Source organism: Homo sapiens, chromosome 7 (assembly GCF_000001405.40).
Source record: "Homo sapiens chromosome 7, GRCh38.p14 Primary Assembly".
Classification (NCBI taxonomy): domain Eukaryota; kingdom Metazoa; phylum Chordata; class Mammalia; order Primates; family Hominidae; genus Homo; species Homo sapiens.
In genome coordinates this window covers 140047333-140068696 of record NC_000007.14, presented here as the reverse complement: position 1 = coordinate 140068696, position 21364 = coordinate 140047333, and the positions used below count along the sequence as shown (strand labels likewise).

At 44.9% G+C, this 21364-nt stretch overlaps 1 protein-coding gene across 9 annotated transcripts in view, besides 3 other annotated features; it reads left to right on the top strand.

The window, feature by feature from the left end:
- Positions 5599-5808: an enhancer, noted in NCBI's record as "active region_26773". NCBI's record gives its function as "activates an Ori minimal core promoter by ATAC-STARR-seq in GM12878 lymphoblastoid cells {active_cell/tissue: GM12878}" and the evidence as "EXISTENCE:reporter gene assay evidence [ECO:0000049][PMID:35858748]".
- The window catches only part of PARP12 (poly(ADP-ribose) polymerase family member 12), a 39203-nt gene continuing 23584 nt past the window's right edge, over positions 5746-21364 (top strand). For all 9 annotated transcript variants that reach the window (NR_130117.2, XR_927514.3, NM_022750.4 and 6 more), the window contains exons 1-4: positions 5746-6175; positions 10663-10798; positions 11544-11841; positions 13934-14035. Coding sequence is in view for 7 of the 9 variants with exons in the window: in NM_022750.4 (NP_073587.1) it covers positions 5850-6175; positions 10663-10798; positions 11544-11841; positions 13934-14035 (862 nt within the window). In the remaining 2 variants the exon portion in view is untranslated. The remainder of the gene's footprint in view (positions 6176-10662; positions 10799-11543; positions 11842-13933; positions 14036-21364) is intronic.
- Positions 5819-6138: a silencer, noted in NCBI's record as "silent region_18702". NCBI's record gives its function as "represses an Ori minimal core promoter by ATAC-STARR-seq in GM12878 lymphoblastoid cells {active_cell/tissue: GM12878}" and the evidence as "EXISTENCE:reporter gene assay evidence [ECO:0000049][PMID:35858748]".
- Positions 16742-16942: a silencer, noted in NCBI's record as "peak6788 fragment used in MPRA reporter construct". NCBI's record gives its function as "represses an SCP1 promoter by STARR-seq MPRAs in K562 erythroleukemia cells {active_cell/tissue: K562}" and the evidence as "EXISTENCE:reporter gene assay evidence [ECO:0000049][PMID:32103011]".

The following is a 21364-nucleotide window of genomic DNA, read 5'->3' as shown; positions in this document are numbered from 1 at the left end:
CCTTGCTGATATTTTGTCTGGTTTTTTATTCATTATTGAAAGTAGATATTAAAGCCTCCAACTATTATTGTTGAATTGTCTATTTCTTCCTTCAGTTCTGTCAGTTTTTGCTTCATGTGTTTTGGGACTCTGTTGTTAAGTGCATTTAATTTATATTTATTATATATTTTTGGTAGATTCTTTGATCATTATAAAATGTCCTTCTTTATCTCTAGTAAGAATTTTTATCTTATGTCTATTTTGTCTGACATTAGTATAACCACTCCGGCCCTCTTTTGGTTACCATTTGTATGGTATATTTTTTCCATCCTTTTACTTTCAATCTGTTTGTCTTTGAATCCAAAATGTATCTTTTGAATGCAGCATACAGTTAGGTCATGTTTTCTATTTTTGTTGTTTGTTTTGGTCCATTATGCCCATCTCTATTTTTTAATTGGAAAGCTTAATCCATTTACATTTAATGTAATTACTAATAAGGTAGGATTTGTCTGCCATTTTTCTATTTTTTCTACGTCTTTTGTCTTTTTTTTTGTTTTTCAACTCCTCTAGTACTGCCTTCTTTTGTATTAAATAGATATTTGCCAGTGTGCCACTTAAATTATCTTATCATTTCTTTTTTTTTCTTTCTTTCTTTTTTTTTATTGAGATGGAGTCTCACTCTGTTGCCCAGGCTGGAGTGCAGTGATACGATCTTGGCTCACTATAACCTCCACCTCCTGGGTTCAAGCGATTCTCCTGCCTCAGCCTCCTGAGTAGCTGGGATTACAGGTGCCTGCCACCACACCTGGCTAATTTTTTGTATTTTTAGTAGAGATGGGGTTTCACCATGTTGGCCAGGCTGGTCTCGAACTCCTGACCTCAGGTGATCCACCCGCCTCGGCCTCCCAAAATGCAGGGATTACAGGCGTGAGCCACTGTGTCCGGCCTCATGTATTTTATTGGTTATTGGTTGCACTAGGAATTACCAGCAACATCTTAATTTATAAAAATCCAGTTTGGATTAATACCAATTTAATTTCCACAGAATATAAAAACTGCTTCTCTATGGCTTCACTTTCCTTCCCCATTTCCTTCTGCTGTTATTGTCACAAATTACATCTTCAAAACATTGTCCATCAACTTATATTTGTAATTACTGCATTATGTAGTTGTCTTAAATCAGATGATGGGGGTTACAAACAAAAAATACGTTTATACTGTCTTTTTCATTTACCTGTGTAGTTACCTTTACTGGTGCTTTTCTTTCTTCATGAGAATTCCAGTTGCTGTTTAGTGTCTTTCACTTTCAGCCCAAACGACTCTCTTTAGTGTTTCTCCCAGTGCTAGCAACTAACGGGCTCAGCTTTAGTTTATCTGGGAATATCTTAATTTCTCCTTCATTTCTGAAAGATAGTTTTGCTGGATATAAAATTCTTGGTTGATTCTTTTCACATTTTGAATACATCATCACACTACCCTCTGCATGCATGGTTTTTGATGAGAAGTTAACTGTTTTTATTTTATTGTTGATTCCTTGTGCATGATGAGTTGCTACTTTCTTGCTGCTTTCAAGATTCTCTTTGTTTTCAAAAGTTTGATTATGATGTGTCTAGGTGTAGATCTATTTGAGTTTTTCCTACTTGGAATTCATTAAGCTTCTTGGATGTGTAGATTAATGTTTTTCATCAAATCTGAGAAATTTTAGCCAAAATTTCTTCATATATTCTCGCTTTCCTTTCTCTCTCTCTCTTCTCCTTCTAAGACTTCCATTTTGTGTTATTGGTATATCTGATGGTGTCCCACAGGTCTCTGAGGCTCTTTTCATTTTTCTTTTTCGTTTCTGTTCCACAGACCAGATAATCATCAATTGATCTATCTTCAAGTTTGCTGATTTTTTTTTTCTTTCGCATGCTCAAATCTGCTGCTGAACCCTTCTAGTGAATTTAACATTTCAGTTATTGTACTTTTTGGCTCCAGAACCTTTATTGGTTCCTTATTATAATTTCTGTGTCTTTATTAATATTCTGTTTGGCAAGGCATCATTCTCATCCTTTCTTTTACATTTTTAGAGATGGTTTCCTTTAGCTCTGTGAACATATCAAAAATAGCTGATTTACACTCTTTGTCTACAAAGTTCAGCATCTGGGTTTTCTTAGGAACAGTTTTTATTGATTGCTCTTATTTCCTTTGTATGGGTCTTACTTTCTTGTTTCTTTGCAAGTCACATAATTTTTAGTTGAAAATTGGACATTTCAAACAATGTGCCAACTCTCAAAGTCAGATACTCCTCTCTCCTCAGGGTTTGATTGTGCTTATTTTAGTATTAGGTTGGTGCAAAAATAATTGCGGTTTGCACCAACCTAATAGTTGCTGTTTAGTAACTTTTTTGAACTAATTTTTTAAAGTGTGTATCTTCATTGTGTGTGACTATTGAAGTCTCTACTTGGTCAACTAATGATTAGATGGAGATTTCCTTAAACACCTGGAACCAATATGTCTCCTAGTCTTTGCCAAGGGGCTCTGTATGCACTTTGGGGTATGTCTTCAATTTTCATTAGGCAGTTTGCAACTCTGCATAGCTTTTATTTCCTGCTAGCACAGAGCCTCAGTGTCAGCTAGTAGTGAGAGGTTAGGATCTTCTCAGGTGTTAACAGAGCATGTGCACAGCCCTACACATGCACATGGCCTTCTAAATTCCTGAAAATATACTGGAGCTTTTCAAAGCCCCTATGGACATCTCTTCCTTCAACGTTTCCTTTTACATTTCTTTGTTAGTCTATTGTTTGCCCCTACCGTTACCTATTGCCTCAGCCAGTTACAATGTTAAAATATTTGACAAATCACTCCCTCTTCAGGTGGAAAAACCTTTAGGACTGAGCTAGTTCCAAAGAGGTTGAATAAAGACAACCCTTTTCAGGATTTTTTTCCAGGGACCCACTAGATAGGTTAAATAATGACTCTTCTTTGGGAATGAGACTTTGAAGTAGCTCCAGCCCTGTCTCCTCCCTCTGGTACAGGTACTAGGAACGTGGGCTGTAAGTTTTCAAGGCTGCCATGGAACTAGAGATGGGGGTGCGATAGGACTAGGGTAAATTAAAATACTATAAATATTGCTGTTCTTACTGAGAGTTTGCTGTTTTTCCTGACTAAATGCCAGATGGGTTGCTGCAAACCTGTGACTAATTTCTAGGGCTCTAAGAAAGTTGATTCTGACAATTTTTGTCAGTTCTTTCCTTGCTTCCTTTATGGAAGGGCAAACTTGCTGGGATACTTAATCCACCATTTTCACTGACATCACTCTTCCTTTCTTTTTTAAAAAATGTTATTTTATTGCAAAAAAATATGGAAACCACAACTAAAATTAACTTTTTTTTTGAGACGGAGTCTTGCTCTGTTGCCCAGGCTGGAGTGCAACGGTGCGATCTTGACTCACTGCAACCTCCGCCTCCCTGGTTCAAACGATTTTCCTGCCTCAGCCTCCCAGGTAGCTGGGATTACAGGCACACACCATCACACCTGGCTAATTTTTGTATTTTTAGGAGAGATGGGGTTTCACCAAGTTGGCCAGGCTGGTCTTGAACTCCTGACCTCAAGTGATCCACCCACCTCGGCCTCCCAAAATGCTGGGATTACATGCGTGAGCCACTGCACTCTGCCTAACATTTTAAATTAAAAATTAACATTTTAGGCTAGGCGTGGTGGCTCACTGTAATCCCAGCACTTTAGGAATCTGAGGTGGGAGGACTGCTTGAGGCCAGGAGTTCAAGATCAGCCTGGGCAACAAATGAGACAGTGTCTCTACAAAAAAATATAAAAATTATCTGGGCATGGTGGCACGTGCCTCTAGGCCCAGCTACTTGGGAGGCTAAGGTGGAAGGTTCGCTTGAGCCCAGAAGTTCCAGGTTGTAGTGAGCTATGACTGTACCATTATACTACAGCCTGGGTGACAGACCAAGACCTTGTCTCTAAAACAATAACAAAAACAAAATTAACATTTTATACAATGAAAACATTAAAATCACAATTAAAATCCAAGAGAAAACCCTTCATTCAATTTCCTAATTAAATAAATTCATTTTCATTTGTCCATGTTACTATCTAGTCTTTATCCATACACTTATTATTTACATTTTTGTAGTAATAGTACAGGTAATTTTTTTTTTTTTTTTAAAGATGGAGTCTCACTCTGTCGCCCAGGCTGGAGTGCAGTGTCATGATCTCCGCTCACTGCAATCTCTGCCTCCCGGATTCAAGCGATTCTCCTGCCTGTCTCCCGAGTAGCTGGGATTACTGGCGCCCGTTACCACGCCCGGCTAATTTTTACGTTTTTAGCAGAGACGGGGTTTCACCACGTTGGCCAGGCTGGTCTCAAACTACTGACCTCAAGTGATCCGCCCGCCTTGACCTCCCAAAGTGCTGGGATTACAGGCGTGAGCCACTGTGCCTGGCCTATAGTTAAGATTTTTATATTCATTTTTAGTGAATGTTATACCGTATACCGTAAGTACTCTCCCCCCACAATCCTTCTGCCTCTCATCTTCCCTTTTCCATTTTCCTAATACCTCCTACTGCCTCCTCTCAACTACCCTTGTGTGTTTCTTCATCTTTCTCCGTGCTTATTCAAAAATATCCTGCCACACACACACACACAGGCTTCTCTTTTTGTTATTCAGACATTTAAAAAAATTAATTCTTGATCATTCAACTTGATTATTTAGACATTTCTGTACAGCCATCTTTTCTCGTTTACCACCACATCATGGCTGTCTGCCCCTCTACATCCGCACACGGAGCTCTAACGCATGCTTGTTAAACAGCCTTCGTAATAGTCTTTAAAGATCAACCACACTGTTCCCACGTAACCCTACCTCCCAGGTAGGGTTCCCCCAGTAACACTTTCACACATAACTTATTTACTGTTCCTTTTACTTCTGGAAGATTCCGAGAGGAAAGATTGCTGGGTCAAAGGTCACACGCGTTTTCAATTTTAATAGCTATTCCTGGATTACCTCCTCAAAGGGCTCTAACAACTCGCATTGCTCTCAGCGTGTGAGAGGGTCCTTTGCTCTGAAGGGTCTTCTAAAATATTTGTTCAATCGTTACTTAGCAGGGGCTGGGAGTAACGGATTTTATTTTATTTTATTTTATTTTTTGAGACGGAGTCTCGCTCTGTCGCCCAGGCTGGAGTGCAGTCGCGCAATCTCGGCTCACGGATTTGCTCTTTTAAAGGACATACCCTTTTATGTTTAAATGAAGGAACTCATTGATGCACCGAGGCGAAAGGAACCTTTAATTAAGTGCGTCTTCTATGCGGAGTGATCGCTTTTGTCACTTGTTCGAGGGGTGAGAGCTCCCGTCAGTTGTCCCTGTTTCTGTGAGCCGTCTACGAAGCCCGGGCTTGGCCTGGGCGACGCTGAGCGGCTTTAACCGGCGGCGTCCAGCCGGCTCCGCCAGCGCTGCCGCCGCCCTCGAGGCTCCCTCTGACTGAAGGCGCGCTGAGCATCGCGGCATTAGGGGCTCCTGGTCCCTCAAACATCCAGGGAAGCCATTTTCAGGGACTAGGTACTGACCCCCGCGAGCCGCCACAGCCACAGCCCGCGCTCCGGGCCGAACGCCCGAGCTCAAGAGCTCCCGAGCTTCCGTCGGGCGGCGGCCTCACAGCTGGGGGCCCTGAGGCGGAAGGCGCAGCCGCTCAGCTGCGGACCGGGGGCGTGGCGAGGGCGCACAGGTTCTGTTTTTCGCCGGCCCGGGGCCGCTTTCGGTTTCGTTTCCCGCCGGCGTCTCCACCCTGCGAGAGCCGCCCGCCAGCCAGCGTCCGCCGCCGTCCGCGTCGCGCCACCCGCGGTCCGACGGGAGCAGGCCCAGCGGCCATGGCCCAGGCCGGCGTCGTCGGTGAGGTCACCCAGGTGCTGTGCGCGGCCGGGGGCGCCCTGGAGTTGCCCGAGCTGCGGCGCCGCTTGCGGATGGGCTTGAGCGCCGACGCGCTGGAGCGGCTGCTGCGGCAGCGTGGGCGCTTCGTGGTGGCGGTGCGGGCGGGCGGCGCAGCCGCGGCCCCGGAGCGCGTGGTGCTGGCCGCCTCGCCGCTGCGCCTGTGTCGCGCGCACCAGGGCTCCAAGCCGGGCTGCGTGGGGCTCTGCGCGCAGCTCCACCTCTGCAGGTTCATGGTCTACGGCGCCTGCAAGTTCCTGAGAGCCGGGTAAGGCGCCGCGCCGGGAGCGACGGCGGGCGGAGGTCCTGCGCGCCCTCACGCACTTCCAGCCCGCTTGGGGGTCCTACTTGAAGTTTGAGCAGACAATTCGGTGGCTCTGCCCTGACCTCGCACCGTCATTCACTAAAGCGAGCGTTTAATGAGCACCTGCGGAGTACCTGGCACAGTGCGAGGGACTCAGGGTCGAGTGGGGTCCTCTAGACGCCTGGGGGGAGAGAGTGATTTACATAGAGCATGGTAGTGCCGGGTGGAACACCCGGGTGTGGCCGTGTGGGGTGGGGAGGGAGGGAGGCGGCGGCTTAGGGGAACTCCACGACGCCGCGGGTCGCCCCTTGCCAGCTTTGAGGCCAGACAATGAAGGTTTTCTCTGCCCAGCAGCTGGTAGAGATCTTTAAACCCAGTTCAACCCTATTAATCTGCTTACAAACTGGAAAATGCAGACTCCCTGCCATCGCCCACAAGGTCCTGGGGCACTGGTCCCTGCCCACCCAGGACCCTTCTGTGACTGGAACACCCCCCCCCCCCCGGGCATTTCTGGGAGCCTGGGCATTTCTGGGAGTCTTTGCTCTGCCTGGAATGCCCTTCTTGCTCTTGGTTGGCCCTATTTGTTAATCCTTCAGGCCTCAACCTAAAGATCACATCCCATTTGAGGATTTTTCCTCCCCTTACTCTTGGTCACAGGGAACTGTTTATTTTCCTCATGGCACCCAGCTGCCAGTAGAATAGAAACTCCCTGAGGGCAGAGGCTCCAGCTGTCTCCCCAGCACTTAGCGTCCATGTTCTGTGCATAGCATGTGGCCAGTGGGATGTGTGGAAGGGATTGCTGAGGTTTATGCTAAAGAATTTGGGCCTCACCCTGGAGGTGATGGGGCGGGTAAAATGGCAGGAGAGAGCAACCATCAGGTTTGCGTTTTAGGAAGTCTAAGGTAGTGGTGTGGGTGCCAATTTAAGGGAGGATGTTGTGGGGGAACCACTGGGAAGCTAGTCATCAAGGAGAATTCCTTCCTCCCCTGCTCCCTCCTTTCTTGCTTGCTCCCTGTTTTGTGTGTGTGTGTGTATGTTTGTCTTAATAGAGTAGATATTTCTTGCTCATGTCAGGCCCAGTAGTGAGCATGGGGTGGGGGCCTTGATCCATACAGTCATTCAGGGATGCAGGCTGACTGACCTCCGCTCTGTGCCCCTCAGCACATGGCTCTTGAGGCCAGCCTAGGTTATCAAGTTCGAGGGGGCTGATCGAAAAGAGGGATGCATGGGAGGTTTTTGTGGGCCAGGTCTAGAAGTGGTGGATTTCCTTTCACCCACATCCCATTGACCAGAAGCTGTCTCGTGACCCTGTCTAGATGCAGGGTGACTGGGAAATGCCTCTAGGAAGCAGCTGTCTGGAAGTATCTAGATTAGAGCTTTCCAAGGGCTATGTGTGTGAGAAATTTGGGATAGCTGGTGACGGTGTGATGAGAGGATATGTGAGAGGTGACGACTCTTCAGTCTCTGTTCCTGCGGTGGCCTGGGTGTTGTTCACTGAGAGAGCAAGAGAGGGTTTTAGTTTGGAAGCATGCCCAGGAGGCAGCTGTTCAGGTCAGAAGCTTGGGAGGAAGGCCAGGGCCCCAATGCGCTGGGCTGGTTTGGGAGATATTGGGCGGTGTATGTTGTAGTTGCAGCCCCAGGAGTGGATCAGATCTGAGGTAGCGTCTGAGGCCTGAAAAGAGGCTGAGGGTGGAACTCTGGGGAAATCAGCCTTCAGGGATGAGGCAGTCCAGGGGAGAGCAGGGAACAACAGCCCACGAGGAGGAAGGCACACAGCAAATGGTGGCTGGATAGAGCCACTCATGGGGGTAACTGGTAGATCTGTTTCATGTTCATATTTGGTAAAATAAAGATGGCAGCCCTGTTCTTAAGCTAGTTCCCAAAATGTGGGGTCAGGTCTGACTTGTCTCGGAAATCTGTAGTGTGATATTTACTGGCTCAGATGACCTTGAGTTTTCTTCTTTCTTCAGTTTTCTCTTTTCCTTGTGGTTTACACAGGTGAGTTTCTTGAACCTTCCATTTCTGACTCACTTTAGGGAGAGTGGGTGTGGTTGGCTGCACTTTTCTGCTTCCCCTGTGACTCTGCTTGTCTTCCTGAACCGCAGGGTCAGTTCTTTTAGAAATAGCTCATCAGTCCTGCTGCAGAGCTGGTACGGAGTCCTGGGTGCCTGACTCTTAGTCCTCTACTCAGGAGGCATTGAGCCTGGTGGTCTAGGGCACAGTCCCAAGATCCAGCCCACCTTGTTTCAACCTGGGCTCTGCTCCTTGCTAGCTGATGGCTTCGGGCAAGTGACTTTACCTCCAGGTCTCAGTTCCCTCATCTGCAAAGTGGAGTTAATGATATTACTACCCTCACAGGCTGGTTGAGGACTGAATGATTAACTCATAAAACATTTTGGCAATCCCCGATATTTGGCAGTTGCTCAATAAATTTTAGTAGTCATTATCATTGTTACCATCAGTCATCGTTACACTTATTAGATATATTTGGCTCTGGCAGCACCAAATTATTTGCCCCTCTTCTGGAATGTTCTTCCTTTCTCTTGCTGTCTCCTCCTCACCCTTTAAGTATTCCACTCAGGCTTTATGCCATCCAGCATGCTCCCCTGATTTCTTCCCCAGTTCTCTCCCAGCCCTGACTGGCTCAGGTGCCCTTCCGCTCTGCGCTGACAGATTCTGACAACAGCTGACGTTGCACTTTCCACTCCGTATCAGAGTCTCCTCTATGTCTGTCACCTCCGCTAGATGAGGGAAAGAGAGCAGGCAAGGATGGCTTCAGGGTTTTTGGTCTGTGCAGTGGGAGAGGGAAGTTGCCTTTTACTGAGCTGGGGGATTCTGTAAAAGGTGCAGGTTTGGGGTGGATCAGGGTTTGGCATTCTCCTGAGATGTGGCATAGGAGGCATGGCAGTGCCAGAGTCAAACAAATGCTGTTGGCCTGACTCTTCTGGGTCCTGGTGACTCAGGCAGTCATTTAAAGGTTTATCTTTGGGTTCTCAGGGCATGGTGCCAATGTCTGGCTCACCCTGGTGCTTATCAGACGCTTGTGGATGGAAAGAATGGAGGAAGAGAGCAAAAAAAAAAAAGCTAGGTTCAGGGCTCTGTGTGTGTGTGTGTGTGTGTGTGTATACACGCCTGCACGCATGCACATATGTAACCTATAATGATAAGATGCCATGCTCATTGATTCAGCCTGTGGCTAACTGCTTACCGACTGACTGCTGTGCAGCAACTCCTCTTTGTCATTCTCATCAAATGCTTGTTCAGAGGCGCTGTCCTGGGCCTTAGACCTTGCAAGGCCCCATCTCCTCCTTGGTAAATACACATTGGATTTTTTGTTGTTGTCATGTAGACATGCTGGTTTTTCTTTTTTTCTTTCTTTTTTTTTTTTTTGAGACAGAGTCTCGCTCCTGTTGCCCAGGCTGGAGTGCAATGGCGCAATCTTGGCTCACCACGGCCTCCGCCTCCTGGGTTCAAGCGATTGTCCTGCCTCAGCCTCCTGAGTAGCTGGGATTACAGGCATGCACCACCTCGCCCGGCTAATTTTGTATTTTTAGTAGATACAGGTTTTCTTCATGTTGGCCAGGCTAGTCTCGAACTCCCGACCTCAAGTGATCCATCCACCCTGGCCTCCTAGAGTCCTGGGATTATAGGCGTGAGCCACCATACCCAGCCTACATGCTGGTTTTTCTCTGGTGCTTGTAAATACTGTCAGGAAGTGTTTCTGAAAAATTGTCATGAAGACTGATTTTATCAGCTTTCAGTTTGCCAGCGCTGCCATAACAAAGTACCATAGACTAGGAGGCTTAAACGACAGAAATCGATTTTGTCACAGTTCTGGAGGCTAGAAGTCTGAGATCAAGGTGGCAGGGTTGATTTCTTCTGAGGCCCCTCTCCTTGGCTTGTAGATGGCCACCTTCTCACCATGTCCTCGCATGGTCTTCCCTCTGTGTGTGTCTGTGCCCCAATCTCTTCTTTTTTTTTTTTTTGAGACTGAGTCTCACTCTGTTGCCCAGGCTGGAGTGCAGTGGCTCACTGCAAGCTCCGCCTCTCGGGTTCATGCCATTCTTCTGCCTCAGCCTCCAGAGTAGCTGGGACTACATGCGCTCACCACCACGCCCCGCTAATTTTTTATATTTTTAGTAGAGACGGGGTTTCACTGTGTTAGCCAGGATGGTCTCAATCTCCTGACCTCGTGATCCTCCTGCCTCGGCCTCCCAAAGTGCTGGGATTACGGGCATGAGCCACCGTGCTTAGCCAAATCTCTTCTTATAAGGACAGTAGTCTTGTGGGTTTGGGGCCCACCCTATGGACCTCTTTTTAACTTAATTACCTCTTTAGAGACCTTCTTTCCAAATAGAGCCATATCCTGAGGTCGTGGGAGTTAGGACTCCAACATAGAAATTTTGAGGAGACTCAATTCGACATATAACACCAGCTCTGCTTCTTTGCAGGAAGAACTGTAGGAATAGTCACAGCTTGACAACCGAACACAACCTGAGTGTGCTGAGAACTCATGGCGTTGACCACCTGAGCTATAATGAGCTATGCCAACTCTTGTTTCAGAACGACCCCTGGCTTTTGCCAGAAGTGAGTGCCAGGGGAAGTCTGGGTTCCACAGCTCCCTGGGGACATTCCTGTGTCTTGGGAAATGTAATGACTGGGAGTGGAATGGGTGGGCCCTTGGTGATCTCTGGTCTGGTTTCCACCTGCAGAAATTTGGAATGTGGAGCAGAAGGAGCAGTGAAGTTCAAGGGCCAGCTTTGCCAACAACCCAGTTCCACAAACATCACACAGATGCCATGGATAGCTGTGCGACTAGGGCTGATTCTTTAACTTCTCTGAGCCTCTCAGTGTGCTCCATTGAGAAATGAAAGGGTGGTATTTGGCCTTCTCTAAGATGCTTTAAGCCCTCAGAGCCTCTTTGACTTTGAATTGTAGAAAAGAGAGCTCAGAGAAAACTGGGGCTTGGGGAAGGGAGAGTTGATGAGTCAGTGTGGGAAGAGTATAGGTAGATTGTAGAGGTCCTTAGGATGTAGCCATTTGATTTGCATTGTCTCATGTGAAAGGAGCAGCTCTAGTCACTTTGAAGTTCTTGGATTTTCCCAGTGGAGGGGCTGATTCTGTGCAGTCTCCTTTCCATTTCGTTCCCCTTTTAGCCAAGGGCATTTGTTAGCAGCCGTCATCTAGAGTGAGGGATGTAATAGCTGTGTTCTGTGTGGATGATGGAATCACAGCTTGTGAAGCCCCTTTCTCACCAGTGGACTGGCCACTGGGGAGGTGGTGTCGTGTGAGACCTTCCTGAACTGGTGGTTTTTTCCCTCTCTGTCAACAGATTTGCCAACATTACAACAAAGGAGATGGACCCCACGGCTCTTGTGCCTTTCAAAAGCAGTGCATCAAGCTCCATATCTGCCAGTATTTTTTACAGGGGGAATGCAAGTTTGGCACTAGCTGTAAGAGATCCCATGATTTCTCTAATTCTGAGAATCTGGAAAAATTGGAGAAGTTGGGTATGAGCTCAGACCTGGTGAGCAGGCTGCCTACCATTTATAGAAATGCACATGACATCAAGAATAAGAGCTCTGCCCCCAGCAGAGTGCCTCCTCTTTTTGTCCCACAGGGGACTTCTGGTAAGGCTGGTGGGGAGTGGTAAGGCTGGTGGGGAGCACGGGAGGTCCTGGGCTGGGGGTTCCCGGATTCCAGCTAGCCATTACATGGAATGTGTGACTTTGGGCAAGTCTGGTGCTGCTTTTAGTAAAATGGAGTTGATGATGCTTTCCTAACAAGGCAGGGAGTGCGGGGGTGAGGATAAGTTGAAATCATAGACTTGATCAAGCATGCCATCCTAGACAAATGTGAATTGGTATTGATGGTGAGTGAATTCTGGATGGGCCTAGTCTGCACTGAAATGGGAGACTTGGCTCCTCCCCCTGTGCAGTCACCCCTATCTTCACCCCCACGAGAGCATGCTCTTCAGGGAGGAACCCAAAGTTAGGAATGCTGTGCTGCACAGCTCTGGGGAGCATTCCTTGTGTTGTATTCTGATTTTACAAAATGAGTGAAAGAAGCATACCTTAATTATGGCATTGGCTGTATTCCTGACATCAATAAGTAGAGTTTTTGAGCCATTGTAAATTTGCTTTGTTCCCTGCTCATCTCCAGCACCTAGACAGTGCCTGGCCCACAGTAGGTACTCTGACATTTGTTGAATGAATGAGTGTGCTAGGATACTTATTTTTTAAAAAAGACTGTCAGGTTTAGTGACAGGCAGATTTTGAACAGAGATTTTTATTTAATAAGCATTTCTTGAGTACCTCTTGTGGGGCAGATGAATAATGTGGTCTGTCAGGGAGATGATGATACACTGGCATTCATTGGATTTCACAGTATCAGCCATTGGCTGGCCATTCTGTTACCCACTCTTTCATTCAGCACCTTTGTGTGCTTGCCACATGCTGGGCGCTGTCTTGGGTGCTGGTTATTCCTTGGCGAAGCTGAGACATGCCTCCCCTCAGAGCAGAATCAAACCCTCTCAGCTGTAGTGGTGGCTACAATTTTAATAGAGCACTTCCTAGAATGTCAGTTGCATGCCAGGACTACCTGCAAACAAAAGCACCACTCTAATTGTACCTGACTTTTATATTTAAAAGTTGTCTTTTGAATTTGTTTTTTCTTTACATTGTCTTCAATTATGTTTTGTTGATTTCTTTCAGTTGTAGGAATCCTAGAAGTAGACAGGTTTTGTATTAAATAGATCTTTAGGAGTATCTTACAGCCTTGAATACAGTTGGATTATAGCCTTGTCAGAAAGGGAGGAGGGATCCACTGCCAGTGATGTCAGCTGCAAGAGCAGTCACCATCGTCGGGAGAGAGGGAGATGACCTTCGGGGTCCCATAGACCTAGATTTTGAGTGAAGTATCTCAGGGGCTTATAAAAAGAAAAGGGAAGATGAATAACGACAGGTGACACTAAATAGGGATTGCAAATTAATTTTATGTGCTCATTGGGGTTAGCTGGGTGAGGGTAAATGTCATAGGTAAAGACTCATTGGCATGGTGCTAGTAAAGGTAAAATAGAAAGGATTTATGTGCCCTTTTTATATTAAGATCCTGATAATTAACCTAAAATTAATTAAAGGGGCTTCATTTTGAAATGTGGACTTTCTTTTTATTACTCTTGTCTTGGTATTAGTACCCAATTCTGATAGTTCATTAATGAATGTTTGCTATATAGCTTCAAATCTAGTTTATAAAATTAGCCCTCTGTTTGCCCTCAGGGGTCATCACAACCTTAGGCATAGAAGGAATTGTAAGATGCCTCAACATGTAAGACAATGGTTCTCCCCTTATTACAAAAGTGTCCCAAGTCCCACCCCTGGAGGTTCTGATTCAGTCAGTCTGGAGTGAAGTCAGTCTAGGGCAGAATCAGGCACTTGTGTTTTTAAATGGGTCTCCTAGTGAATTGAATGGACAGCGAGAGTTGAGAAAGGAGTCCCCTTCATGGAGTCCTGGATCTGGCAAGCAGCCATGTGGCGTCAGGCTGCCAGCCTGTCACTAAAAAGTAGAGGATCCACCTGTGTAGGAGCACTTTCACCCCAAACACGATAGGGCTTTGTGAGCTTGCGTTGCCCACTTTTGTGCAGAGAACTGAATGAATCCTCTTTAACTCTCTTTTATACCCCATATCAGAAGCTGACATATCTTTGTGGTGTTTCTTTGCAGAAAGAAAAGACAGTTCAGGTTCTGTGTCCCCAAACACTCTTAGCCAGGAGGAGGGTGATCAGATCTGTTTGTACCATATCCGGAAAAGTTGTAGCTTTCAAGGTAAGTTGGAAGAGGCTCCTTCATTCCACTTGTGGGAGGGGTAACTGCTTGTCATTCCCAGAGCTGTGCTCTGAAGTCACCCCCTACCAAACCTCTACCCCATCCGGAGAGGATCAGGGCTTGGCACTTTGGCCAAACCAATTCTGAAGGTATTTTGTTGGGGAGTTGAAGATGGTAGCAATTCTTTGAGTTTTCAGAAATTAAATGTGGATCATTTTTGGGAACATAACTGGTTCATGCACCAAATGAGTGTCAAGTATTGAGCCTTGGTCAGCTTAGCATGAGGTCACAGACCTGCACAGGACAGGGAACTGCTCAGCCTGGTGGGAACAAAGATAAGGGTGATGATAGGCTGAGAGCTCCCTTAGAAACTGGAAAGGACCTCACTGCGAAGGAAACACTTGTGTTAGCTCTTGGAGGATGAGTAGTTGTTTAAATTGGGGTTTTTTTTCTGTATTGATCCAGTGAACAATCCAGTGATCTCTTTTTTATCAGAAGCAGCAATTCTGGTGTGCATGTGCCTGTCTGTATTTTCACTAAACCTTTGTTTTCTTCTTAAATGCTGTCCTGGGCTTTGACTGAAGAAAGGTTTGTTCTCAAATTTGGTGACTCCCCTTGACAACCACCAAACTTCTTGTTTCATTTTCAGTTTTTAAAAATTACCCAAGCAATTAATGAATACTTTCACTCTGTAAAACAGTTCAGTAATACAGAGTGAAGCATGAAGTCCTCCATCGTCTTTGCCCAAAGGTAAACACTTCCCGTGTGGTTGTGATATTTGTTTTATATGTTTTTAAACAGATAGGAGCATGTGATAATGTTATTATTCAATCTGCATCTTAACATTGTATCTTGGAGATTTTTTTTCCATGTCAGTATGTGAAAGTCCACCTCATTTTAAAAACAAGTGTGTAGTAGTTGATTATAATGATGTTCCATTGAGCATTGAAGTACATATATGTGAGTATTTCCATAGATAGATTCTGGGGAATGGAATGATAGGTCAAGGAATATGAGCTATATATATATACACACACATATATATGTGTATTCTGAAAGCAATATTACTGAGCTATAGTTTACACAAGCTAAAGTGTACCATTTTAAATGTATACTGAGTTTTGATAAGTATATATGCTCATGTAACCATCTCTACCATCAAGATATGGAACCCCCTCCAAAAACATTGTTTTATGCTCCTTTATAATTAATCCTCACCCCCTAGTTTGTCACGCCCAGGAAACCCCTGATCTACTTTTTGTCACTATAGATTAGATTTGCCTTTTCTAGAATTTCACATACATGGAATCATACAGTGTATTATCTTGTGCCTGGCTTCTCTCATCAGCATGTTTTTGAGATTCAGTCATGCTGGCATATCAATCATTTGTTTCTTTTTATTGCACAGTAGTATTCCATTGCATGATTGACTGCAATTTGTTTATCCATTCATATGTTGATGAACATTTGGGTTGTTGCCAGTTTTTGGCTTTTACAAATACAACTTCTATAAATATTTATGTATAAGTTTTCATGTGGATATATGTTTCCATTTCTCTTGGGTAAAAGACAGACATAGTTACTGGGTTATGTCATGTGATTGACTTTGTAAGAAACTGCCAAACTGTCTTCCAAAATAGATAATAATATTTTATGTTCCCACCAGCAACGTGTGAGAGTTTCAGTTATTGTATATTCTTGCTAACACTTGGCATTGTCTTTTAAGTTTTAGCCATTCTAATCAGTGAGTGATGATGTCTCGTGGTTTTAATTTGCATTTCCCTGATGATTAATGATGTTTAACTTTTATTTACATGTACTTTTGGGGCATCTGTATATTTTCTGTGAAGTATCTACTCAAATCTTTTGCCTATTTTTTATATAACAGCTTTACACACACACACACACACACACACACACACACACACAAAAGGGGTCTTCAGAAAGTTTGTGGAAAATGCATATTATGAAAAAATTATGCATGGAGTTCAAAAGTTTTGCACCAAAATAAATTCATACTAACTTGTAATAACATATCTGAAGAGGATCTAGTTTGAGGCACTAAGAAGGATAAGACATCAATTTGGAAAGAGCCCCTATCAAAGCAACATGAATTTTGCTGCAGTTGAAGCAAGAACAAATATCAAATTAATGGTGACTCTTGGGTGGCAGAATGACAAAATCATTGATGCTTTACAAAAAAGTTTATGAGGACAATGTCCCAAAGAAATCAGTTTATAAATGAGTAAGTCATTTTAAGAAGGGATGAGAGAATGTTAAAGATGGAGCTATGCACATCAATTTGTGAGAAAAAAAATTAATGTTGTTTGTTCCTTAATTGAAGACCAGTGATTAACAGCACAAACAGTAACTGACACCAGACATCTTGATTAGTTCAGTTTATACAGTCTGCCAGAAAAATTAAAAATTAAATTTGAGCAAACTTTCCACTCTATGAGTGCCAAAACCATTCTGCCTGGATCAGCTGCAGACAAGAGCAGAACTTTGAATGGAAATTTTAAACAAGTGGTATCAAGATCCTGAAGCATTTCTCTGAAGAGTTGTAACAGGAGATGGAACATGGCTTTACCAGTAGGATCCTGGAGACAAAGCAATGGCTCCTAAAAGGGGGAAGTGGCCCAGTCACAGCAGAAGTGATCAGGAGCAGAAGTCACAGCAACAGTTTTTTGAGATGCTGAAGACATTTTACTTGTTGGCTTTCTAGAGGGCCAAAGAGCAATAACATCTGCTTATGATGAGAGTGTCTTGAGAAAGCCAAAACTTTAGCAAAAAAATGCCCAGAAAGCTTCACCAGAGGGTCCTTCTCCACCACCACAAGGCTGCTGCTCATTCCTCATCAATCAAGGGCAATTTTGCAAGAGTTTCAATGGGAAATCTGTAGGCATTCACTTTACAGTCCTGATTTGGCTCTTTCTGACTTCTTTTTGTTTTCTAATCTTAAAAATCTTTAGGTCGGTCATGGTGGCTCATGCCTGTAATCTCAGCACTTTGAGAGGCCGAGGCAGGTGGATCACTTGAGGTCAGGAGTTTGAGACCCGCCTGGCCAACATGGTGAAACCCTGTCTCTACTAAAAATACAAAAATTAGCTGGGTGTGGTGGCACATACCTGTAATCACAGCTACTTGGGAGGATGAGGCAGGAAAGTCACTTGAACCCGGGAGGTGGAGGTTGCGGTGAGCCGAGACCGTGCCACTGCACTCCAGCCTGGGCGACAGAGTGAAACTCTGTCTAAAAAAAAAAAAGAAAAAAAATCTTTAAAGGGCACCCATTTTTCTTCAGTTAATAATGTAGAAAAAAGACTGGATTGACATGGTTAAATTCCTAGGACCCTTGGTTCTTTATGGGTGGACTAAATGGCTGGTATCGTCTTTTACAAAAGTGTCCTGAACTTGATGGAGCTTATATTGAGAAATAAAGTTTATATTTTTTATCTTTTAATTCCGTTTTCCATGAACTTTTTGAAGTCCACTTACATATGTAATATTAACACAGAATTGGGCAGCCATCATCATAGGCAATATGAAAACATTTTCAACACCCCCAAAGTAACCCCGTCTTCATTAGCAGTCTTCCCTCCCCCCAGCTCCTGATGACTACAGATGAAGGTTCCATCTCTATAGATTTGCTTGAATATTTCATATAAATGGAATCATACAGTATTGGTCTTTAGTGACAGTTATACCCATTTTTATTGGGTTATTTGATCTCTTATTGAGTTGTGTTTTGTATATGATTTATACTGAAGATATATCCTTCCAGTCTTTCATGTTTATTTCCTTTATAGTGTACAGGTATTTTAATAGTGGTGTCCAGATAATATTTTTTTTCTTTTATGGTTTGTGTTTTTTGTATCCTAAAAATATTTGCCTATTCTAAGCCTACAGAATGTTTTCTCTTATGGTGTTTTCCTAGAAGTTTCAGGGGCTAGGCTTTTAGGTTGAAGTCTAGCTGTGAATACTTGTTCTCTTAACTCTGATCATTCTGTCCTTAGGTATCGCTGTTTCTGTGTGAGTTGCTGCCTCTCTTTGAATTGTTTTCCTTCATGTGTTGAGCGACTCTTGGTTGTCTGTCACGTTGGTGCTTGAGAATCCCGTATACCTGTTGGTTGATTTCCATGGGGCTGATTTGGATTCCAGGCCCTCATTCTAGTGATGGTGGGGAAGAGGCAGAAGGTCCTGCTTGGTGAGGTGGGAGGCTGGCATGTAGCCTAGGACTGGGACGGGGGCTTTGGTGGCCGTCTCATTTGCTTTTCTCTTGCTCTAACCCTTATATTCACACTTAGTTTAACTAGGAAGTGCACAGCAAGCTTCCTTCACACAAGCAAGTTAGGGGAAGGGAGTGCCTCTGCCAGGGGCTCCCATTGTTCTCATTGGGATTGGCCTGGGTATCGTTCTTGCTCCTGGCTTCATCTGACTCTGAATCTGTGATGACCCCAGATCTTTTCTACTTCTGTGGTATGTTCTGCACATTTTGTCTGCATTTTTCTCTCTTCTTTTTATATCTATTTGATTCTCATTGCTCCATAGTTTTAGCAATTCTTGAATAATTCTGGTCTTTTGATGGTATTTTTTATTGTTTTCCAGTGCTTTTGGATTTATTATTCTCTCTGGCCTGTTATTTCAAGGACTATAGGGAGGAAGGGCTGGGGTGGATGTGGTGTTTTGTCTGCCAAATTGATTTGATTTCTATGACTCACGTCCTAGAAAGCCCCTGGAATGCCAACGTGAGGTAGGGAACATTAGAAGGCGGGAAAAGAAGTTGAGAAAGGGGACAGGAAGACCAGGACAAGGGAAAGGACCTTATGTCTCTACCGCTGTGCTGGGACTAGGCTCTCACCAGCTGCTGTGGCTGCAGTGGCTTACCTGGTGCCTCCTGTCCTGGGCACCTTCCAGCTGTGAACAGTGTGGTCTATAGCTCAGCTTTGTTTCAGAACGGAAGCCTCAGGCCTGCTGTTTGATTATAGTGCATTCCCCTGGCCCCCATGTCCTTCCTGAGGAAGCATCAGCCTGGAGGGCCCTAAGGAGTGCACCTTCCCCAGGATGTGCCTGTTTGCAGGGAGATCCTGTCTCAGGCTGTCCATAGTACACCTGTGCCTGGGGTTTGTAGGTATAGCATTTGACTACTGGGATGCCCTGGGGTGGCCTTCTGCTCTCATCCCTGATCATTTCCTCTAATGCCTTTCAGGGAGGGAACAGGAACTGGTTGGTTGTGACCTTGGACCATAGCTATTTGTCTTTCCTGGCCCAGCCCTTTAATTATCTGTTGTGTACACACCTGCTTGAGAGAGTTCAAGAGGTTCCTGACCTAGTGAGCTGTCCATGTTCAAACTGGACAAGTTAGGAGATCTTCAGTCCCTGGTGTGGCTGTTTTCAGCCTTGTTGCACTTAGAGGAGTTTCCTTGCTTGGGTGTCCCCACCTTGTTCCCTCAGTCCTCTCAGCCTGGCACTCTCTTCTGCCCTGTCTGCTCGGCCCCATACCTGATCACACAATCCCAGGCACCCTCCCACCCTCCTCCATGGGACTTCCCCCACCAGGTGCTTTTGCAGAGCCTGGGAAAGAAGTGGCATTGAGATGTGCCTGAAAGAATGCACACAATTTTAGAAAATTTTAATTTTTTTCAAGTATCAAATTAGCTAGTTTCATTATTATTTTGAAATACAAATTAAAAATGTACAAAGGACACTCAGTAAGAAATAAGTCGCCCTCACACCAGTTTTCTCCAGAACTCAAGTCCCCTCCAAGAAACAGCCATAATTATCCATTCTTTGAATATCCTTTCATCGAGACTGTATACGTGTACAAGGGTATGTGTCTGTTCAGTTTCCTTACACAGGCACGCTAGCATGGCTTTCTACCTTTTTCACTTAATTAGATGTATAATTTTTGGAATATATTATATCTTCTTGTGGTTCAAAGTTCAAAACATGCCAAAATGACAGAAGTCTTTGCTTATAACTTTGTCTCCAGTTACCAGGTTCCCTCTGCAAGAAATAATATGTGCATGTGTGTGTGTTTAGTTAGAATATGTCTAAACTTACTTTTTTTTCTATTTTTTACCCAAATAGAGGCATTCTGCACCTTGTTCTCTATCTTCCTGCCTTAGAGCAAATATCTCAGAGGTAGCTAGCTGCATGTCACAGTGCAAAGAGCTTCTCATTCTTTTTCTCTCCTTTCTCCCTGTCCTCTCATGACACTTCTCTGTGTGGATATAGCAGAACCTCACATAGGCTGTTGACAGGTAGGGAGAGGGTGTGGGTGGCGTTCCCGGTGGTGGCAGGCACCAGCAAAGACAGGGCAGGCAGCGTGTGCTTGGAGTGATGAGAGAAGTGAGGATCTGGCTGCCCAGGAGGAACATGGGGTTGGTGAGGGGAGCAGCTCACCGGAACCCATAGGTCTGGGCCATTGTGTGGATGTTGGTGGGAGAGTGTCAGGGAAGGAGTGAGCATGTTGTTAGCCAGAAGAGATGCAAGGAGCCTGTAACCATGCTGCTGACCTGCCTTCAGTTGGACGTGTTGGGTTGGGATGGATTTCTGGTAGGGATGAATCTGGCTCCATCTTTGCTGTGATCTCTGCCCGTCCACCTGCCACACAGAGAGTGATATTGAGGAGTCAGACTGCCCCCTGCAGTGATGAGACCTTTGACCTTCGCATAATCAGCTTCTTACTCTCATTAAATAAAGTTCATAGATGATATAAACCATCAACATACATATTTCTAAAAAATTGCCAGGTGTGGTGGCTCACACTTGTAATCCCAGCACTTTGGGAGGCCAAGATGGGTGGATCACTTGAGGCCAGAAGTTCGAGACTAGCCTGGCCAACATGGTGAAACCTTGTCTCTACAAAAAATACAAAAATTAGCTGTGTGGTGGTGCACACCTGTAATCCCAGCTACTGAGGAGGCTGAGATGGGAGGATCACCTGAGCCTGGGAGGTTGAGGCTGCAGTGAGCCGTGATTGTGCCACTATACCCCAGCCTGGGTGACAGTGAGACCCTGTCTCAAAAAAAAAAGTAAGGTCCTGTTAAAAAGTGAGACATAAAGAAGGAAGATGTATGTCTTAGTCCATTTTGTTGCTTATAACAGAGTACCTGAAACTGGATAATTTATAAAGAAAAGGAATTTATGTCTTACCTATATGGAGGCTGAGAAGTCCAGGTTGTCAAGGGCCTGCATCTGATGAGGGCCTTCTTGCTGGTGGGGACTGCAGAGTCCTGAGGTGCTGCAGGGCATCACATGGCAAGGGGGCTGACCATGCTAGCTCAGGTCTCGCTTCCTCTTATAAAGCCACCAGTTCCACTCTCATGA